Source organism: Homo sapiens, chromosome 13, assembly GCF_000001405.40.
Source record: "Homo sapiens chromosome 13, GRCh38.p14 Primary Assembly".
Classification (NCBI taxonomy): Eukaryota; Metazoa; Chordata; class Mammalia; order Primates; family Hominidae; genus Homo; species Homo sapiens.
Genome location: NC_000013.11, coordinates 20,543,222 through 20,550,790, shown reverse-complemented (window position 1 = coordinate 20,550,790; position 7,569 = coordinate 20,543,222).

Sequence of the window (7,569 nt, the reverse complement as noted above, 5' to 3'; positions counted from 1 at the left end):
TGAAGGGCTGAAGAAGCTCGAGGCTGCCTTTGCTCACTAGAAGCAGGGAGCTCTCTTCTTCTTCCCCTGGACCCTTCCTTTAAAACAGTTACTTTTGTCTTAAGTTTTCATTTCCACGTTCATCCCTTCTTTCAGTCTCATAAAGACGGTCTCAAGTAGTAACAGTAGTAACTGTCTCAAGTAGTAACAGTAGTAACTGTCTCAAGTAGTAACAGTAGTAACTGTCTCAAGTAGTAACAGTAGTAACTGTTGTAGCGATGGTCTCAAGTAGTAACTGTGGCAGTCTCCCACACAAAGTATCTTGTTCTTAAAAAAAATCAAGGGGCCAGGCCAGGTGGCTCACACCTGTAATCCCAGCACTTTGGGAGGCTGAGGTGGGCAGATCACGAGGTCAAGAGATCGAGACCATCCTGGCCAACCAACATGGTGAAACCCCATCTCTACTAAAAATAGAAAAATTAGCCGGGTGTGGTGACGCACGCCTGTAGTCCTAGCTACTTGGGAGGCTGAGGCAGGAGAATCGCTTGAACCCAGGAGGCAGAGGTTGCAGTGAGTTGAGATCGTACCACTGCACTCCAGCCTGGTGACAGAGCAAGACTCTGTCTCAAAAAAAAAAACCAAAAAACAATACATTATGACAATTTTCTGTAGAGGAGAGTACAATGTCTTGATGAAGAAGTACCTTTCTCTGATTTACACAAAGGTATGAAATGGACTACCATTGGCTCTAGGGCTGTATAAAATCAAATCCAGACTATTAGTGAAAGTGAACCAATGCAGTTTAATAAGTAAAGAAAAAAAAAGAATGATCAATAATATATATTGAGCCAGGCACAGTGGCTCACGCCTGTAATCCCAGCACTTTGGGAGGCCAAGGTGGGCTGATTTCTTTGAGCTGAGTTTGAGACCAGCCTGGGCAACATGGCAAAACCCTGCCTCTACTAAAAATACAAAAATTGGTGGCGGGGGGCAGGGTGTGCGGTGTGGTGGTGCATGCCTGTGGTCCCAGCTTCTCCAGGGATGAGGCTGGAGAATCGCTTGAACCCGAGAGGTAGAGGCTGCAATGAGCCAAGATCGTGCCACTGCACTCCAGCCTGGGTGACAGAGTAAGACCCTGTCTTAAAATAATAAGTATTGAAATTCTGGCTTCCAAAATACTTGTTCTTTGTTCATATATTATATTACATGTGCAATATAGTGTCTTCGTTCATTCTGGCCGCTATAACAGAATGCTGTAGACTGAGCGGAGCATGGTGGTATGTATGCATCTGTTGTCCTAGATACTTGGGAAGCTGAGGTAGGAGGACACTTGAGTCCAGGAGTTTCAGTCCAGCTTGAGTAACATAGCAAGACCCCTCTCTAAAAAACAAAAATGCTATAGACTGGGTGGCTTATAATAACAGACATTTATTTCTCACAGTTCTGGAGGCTGAGGGGTCCAAGATCAAGGCATTGGCAGTTTCAGTGTCTGGACAGGGCCCACTTCCAGGTTCATAGACAGCCATCTTCTCATGGTCTCCTCACATACTGAAAGGGATGAGGGGTTTCTCGGGCCACTCTCATAAGGGCACTAATCCTGGGCATGAGGGCTCTGCCCCATGACCTAACACAACCCAGAGGCCTTGCTTTCTGATAACATCACGGTGGGGGTAGGGATTCCAATGTATGAATTTGGGGAGACATAAACATTCAGTCTAATATGTGTAGTATAAATAAGATAGTGTAATACATGCTTCCCTAGGCCTCATGGAACCACAGGTACAAATGTGATTAATATATATGGGGAGGAATTCTTCAGTTTTAGGAACATCTTTCTGTCACCCCAAAAGTCTCCCACACACATACACACTGTCTTCCATCTTTGGATCCCCCGAAAAGTAATGTATCAAAAGTACTGTGATGTTAAGGAGGAAAGGGTTTTAGAGAAAAAATAAATTCCTGATTCACTTTGTGACATGTTTAAATTATTTTGTTCCTTGTTCAGGACTATGAGCTTTCTGGCTTGGGCAACTACAGCTGAAAAATGCAACACCCTTTTCTTGTGGAGCAGTTTTACCAAAGTAACGTTTCTCTTATGTTTTGTTCATTTCAGAAATTGTCATCTTCCTTTCCCCCTCTCTTCTTTTCTCTCTCCCTTCCTCCCTCCCTCCCTCCCTTTCTTTTTTCTTTCTTTTTTTTGCAGGGGTGGGAATAAGGTTTCACTCTGTTGCTCAGGCTAGAGTGAAGTGGCACAATCAAACCTCACTGCCATCTTGACCTGCTGGGCTCAAGCAATCCTCCTACCTCAGCCTCCCTAGTAGCTGTGACCACAGGCACATAGCACCATGTTTGGATAATTAAAAAAAAAATTTTTTTTTCATAGATATAGGATCTTGACATACTGCCCAGGCTGATCTCGAACTCCTGGGCTCAAGCAATCCTGCCTCAGCCTCCCAAAGTGCTGGGATTACAGGCGTGAGCCACCTTGCCCGACCTTCCTTTCTAAGCAAAATAAATATAGGCAAGGGATGGATGATCAGAAAGCATTTGTAAAGTGCAGTATTAATGTAAGCTATTACTTGTGATATTTTAAAGGATGTCAGAAGTGGACAGGAGGAGAAGGACCTATGACCAGTGTGTTTAGACAGGGGATAGGAACAGACATAAGCAGCGACGTGTGCACTGGTTTTATGAACTAGTTTGCTATGACCCTGCAATGCCTTTGCATGTTCCTGGAGACTATGCCTGAGTTTTCAAATTCATCTTTTGTAAAACACTGTTCAAGTTTAGGATAAATATATAATTCAAGACATTTTGACTAGAAAGGAAAGATCTGGTCTGAGATGGACCTGCTAAGTGGCCTGGAAGTCTTGGGGCTGTCACCTGTAGAATGGTGGGGCTGGAATCTGCTTTACATATGCCAGGGAGGTGCCAGGGAGGGCCAAGTGAGAGTATGTGTAAGGAAGAGCTGCTGCGTGATACTACAGAGGACACAGAATGATCCAACACTGGCCATGTGCCAAGCACATTTTAGAATGGATTCTATCAGTTAATCATTAACAATAACCCTTTAAGAGGGAACCTCTATTATGACCATTGTACTGCTGAAAAGGCTGAGTTTTGAGGAACTAACTTGTCTAAAATCATGCAACTAGCCAAGCACGGTGGCCCACATCTGTAATCCTAGCACTTTGGGAGGCCAAGATGGGCGGATTGCCTGAGCTCAGGAGTTCAAGACTAGTCTGGGCAACATATTGAAACCCTGTCTCTACTAAAATACAAAACATTAGCCAGGCATAGCAGTGTGCGCCTGTAGTCCCAGCTACTTGGGAGGCTGAGGCAGGAGAATTGCTTGAACCCGGGAGGTGGAGGTTGCAGTGAGGAGATCAAGCCATTGCACTCCAGCCTGGGCGACAGAGCAAGACTCCATCTCCAGAAAAAATAAATAAAAATAAAAATAAAATCATGCAAGTAGCAAAATATGAATTTGAGATTCAGACCCTGGCAATCTGACTCCAGAGCTCACACTTTTAACCACCGCACAGTTTTGCCTTTCTGATATTGACTTGTATACTGTTACCTATGTAGCAACACGTTAAGTTGGGGATTACGGCTGATGCCCTAAGATAACAGATCACAGATGTAAAAATGAATTGCCAGACCAATGTGCATTTTTTCAAAGTAGGTGGTCCAGAATGTTTTGGAACTTTTTGATCTCTTACTAGTATTGGGGTAAAGGATGGAGAGTTGGGATTTCACCTTCAAAGTGTTCCTCTGCGACTGGTCCCAGCTGGCAAGAGGGGAGATTTAATGACCTAATTAAGACTGTATTTGCAACTTAAATTACCCTTAGGCTTTTATTTCCCCAAAGTGATCAGAAAAATCAGGGCCCCACCTAAGTTTTAAAAGGGGAAAGGGAGACAAAAATAAAGTTGGGCTTGAATTACATCCCATGAGTTGTTCTAGTTCAGTGAATCTAGTTCAATTACACATGCTGTACAGAGTTCTTTTTACTACTTTAAGCAGTTAATTTCTATTATGGGTGGAGTAGCCACAGCTTCAGAGAGGAAGCAGGGCTGGGCTATGTAAAAGAAGAGGAAGTTTCAGATAATTTGTGGTGAAGAGAGCATAGGATTTGGCATTGCTCTAGGTCTGTAGAGCTATTTGAGCGCTTGAAACCTCACTGCCCAGGAGAGGTTTTCTTCACCATTGATTCCCAAAACCATCTTCCTCACTTCCATCATCCTTAATCCCCTTGACCTCTTTATTTCCTACATAACACTTATCATGACCTGCATTATTATTCTCTTACACATACATTTATTTCCTTATCTACCTGTTCAGTTTCTGTCTTTCACTAGAATAACAGTTCCATGAGACTAGACGTCTGTCTATCTTGGTCACCACTTTGTTCCCAGTGCTTTGAACTGAGCTGTCTAATGGGGTAGCCACTAGTTACATGTGGCTATTTAATTAAAATGAGTTAATTAAAACAATTTTTTTTTGAGATGGATTCTCGCTCTGTCACCAGGCTGGAGTGCAGTGGCGTGATCTCTGCTCACTGCAGCCTCCGCCTCCCGGGTTCAAGTGATTCTCCTGCCTCAGCCTCCCGAGTAGCTGGGATTACAGGCACGCGCCATCATGCCCAGCTAATTTTTGTGTTTTTAGTAGAGACGGGTTTTCACCATGTTGGCCAGGATGGTCTTGATCTCTTGACCTTGTTATTCACCTGCTTTGGCCTCCCAAAGTGCTGGGATTACCGGCGTGAGCCACTGTGCCCGGCCTAAAATAAAATTTTTAAAAATTTATTTCCTCAGCCCCTTCAGCCATATTTCATGCCAATAGGCATATGTGGTTGGTGACTACCATATTGGACAGTGTAGATGTTGAACATTTCCACTACTGCAGAAAGTTCTCTTGGGCAGTACTGATTTAGAATAGTGATGGGCACATAGGAAGTGCTCAACAAAGATTTAATGAATGAGTATTAAATAAATGAAAGTTGTTGAACTTGCCCTCTTTGAAGACAATTAAGAGATCCTGGGGATTTGCTGAGATAACGAAGCAAAATTACTCCTGTACACTAGAAACATGACACTAATGTGAGCTATTATTATTGTAATTCAAGCTTCCCTGGGCTTCATGAGCTGCAGGTACAAATGTGATTATGTAAAAAGGAAGGACTCAGATTTCACTGGCTCTTGCCCTGGCCCACATAACACACATGGGTTATCTTATGAGACCCTTTCTTGATGTCTGCCCTTGGGGTTGGGAGAGCTCTTTACTGGCCATTCCTGCCAGCGACTAGCTTGCCAATATTGATAATCAGGCCATAGATCCGTTTCCAGAAGTATTCAATTCACAATCAGAAAAAACAAATTAGCTGGGTGCAGTGGCTAATGCTTATAATCCTAGCACTTTGAGAGACTGAGATGGGAGGATCACTTGAGCTCAGGAGTTGGAGACCAGCCTAAGCAACATAGGGAGACCGCATCCCTACAAAAATAAATTAGCCCAGCGTGATGGTGCACACATATAGTCCTAGCTACTCAGGAGGCTGAGTTGAGAGGATCACTTGAGCCTAGGAAGTCAAGGAGGCAGTGAACCATGACTGTGCCACTGCACTCCAGCCTGGGCAAAGGAGCAAGGCCCTGTCTCAAATAAATAAATAAAAACAATTAAAAAAAATTTAAATTAAAAAAATCTGCAGGTCAACAGGTTCAGCCAACATCAAAGTGTCTATGACCTCCCAGAAGCCCTCAGGGACCCAAAGCAATGCTCGATTATCCAGCCTTCTTGGTGCCACACACCAGGTGGAAGGCACACGCCCCTGCCCAAGTCCTCTGTTTTTTAAACTTTGTCACGTAGGCACCAAAGCCCAGCTGCTGTGTAGCCCTTTGTCCCATGGAATTCACAAGAGCACCCCTCCCTCAGCTTCTCCCTGCAGCTCTTGTCGACAAGACCCAGGCCAGATGAGAGGTCAGGGAACAAGAGTCACCAAGGACCCTCAGAAATCCCCTTGATGTTCCCCTTTGCCTATGCAAATTATTCACAGACAGAGGTATTTACAGGCTGCAGACCCAGTCATCATCAGACACAGCTGAAGCAATGGCTTCAGTAACAGCTCATTTCACCTGGACCACCAGTATACTACCGTCTTATCCTCACCCAGGAGTAACTTTTCGGAGGGTACAGAAGTGGACAGCTGTTGGCTGATTTCTTCAGAGCTTTGTCGTGGGCTCCATTTCCTGGTGTGCTGGTTCACAAGACTGTGTGATGCTGGGCCACATGGACTTCTCCCTGATGTCCTGGAGCTGCGGGGGCCGCCTGGACCCTGGCTCAAGTTCTCCACCCTGCCTACAAGGTCCTGACTCTGACTTGGCCTTTTCTGCCCAGCTCTGCTTTCTTCAGGCTGGAGGGCTGGGCTGGAAGCAGCACTTCCTTTTTCTTCAAGCACTTTATGATCAAGAAGACTTACGGCTGTCTTCATCTCACAGGCATTCCTCAGGGCTTAAGGCCCTCTCTTTGGGAAGTATCCTAGTTTTCCACCACTGATAGGAGTTTGGAGTTGTTTTAGTATATTAAAAAGATGATTCAGGGGTTTACTTTTTATTTAAATGATTAATATTCAATTTATTAAAGTTACAATATCAAAGTTTTTCCTTAGATTTTGAAGATTATTGACAAATCACATTTTTCTTTTTTAAAGTATATTAATTTTTTTTTGGAGACAAAATTTTGCTCTTGTTGCCCAGGCTGGAGTGCAATGGTGCCATCTTGGCTAACTGCAACCTCCGCCTCCTGGGTTCAAGCGATTCTCCTGTTTCAGCCTCCTGAGTAGCTGGGATTACAGGCATGCGCCACCACACCCAGCTAATTTTTTTGTATTTTTTTTAGTAGAGATGGGGTTCTTCATGTTGGTCATGTTGCAGGATTATTAAGTAATCAGAGAGACCAGTGGGGTTCAGGAGGATATTTATTAATCATTTAGGTGCACCAGCCCAGTCGGATTAATACCCAAAGGATTGAGCCCTGAACAAAGAGTTAAGTTACCTTTTACACATTTTGTGGGGCGGAGGGAGATCTGTGCAGGGGGAAGCATACTACCAAAGGCAGTTATTCAATTAATTGAGACATGCATTACATCATTTCTTACTTTTCAAGGAAAAACATGTTTTGTGACTTGAGTTTATCTGTCTAGTGCCCTTGCAGCTGCACAGCTAGGGAATCAGGGTCTTTCCAATACCTGGGAAAGGAGGAGAGATGAGGCTCACTAGCCACAGAAAAATAGGCAGTTAATTTTTAAAGGACTCCAGCTCTTTCTCTTTCTCAGCGGGGAATTGGGTTTTCTTACATACAACTGAATTTCTGTTTACACACTCTTTAATTTCTTTTAATTCCTGTTCCAGTCAGGCTGGTCTCGAACTCCGGACCTCAGGTGATCCGCCCACCTTGGCCTCCCAAAGTGCTGGGATTACAGGAGTGAGTCACTATGCCCGGCCTAAAGTACATTAAAATTTTTTAACGATCACTTATAGGGGCTGTTGAATTTACTGAGGTGATTAAATACTTTTGCAGCATTTAAAAACT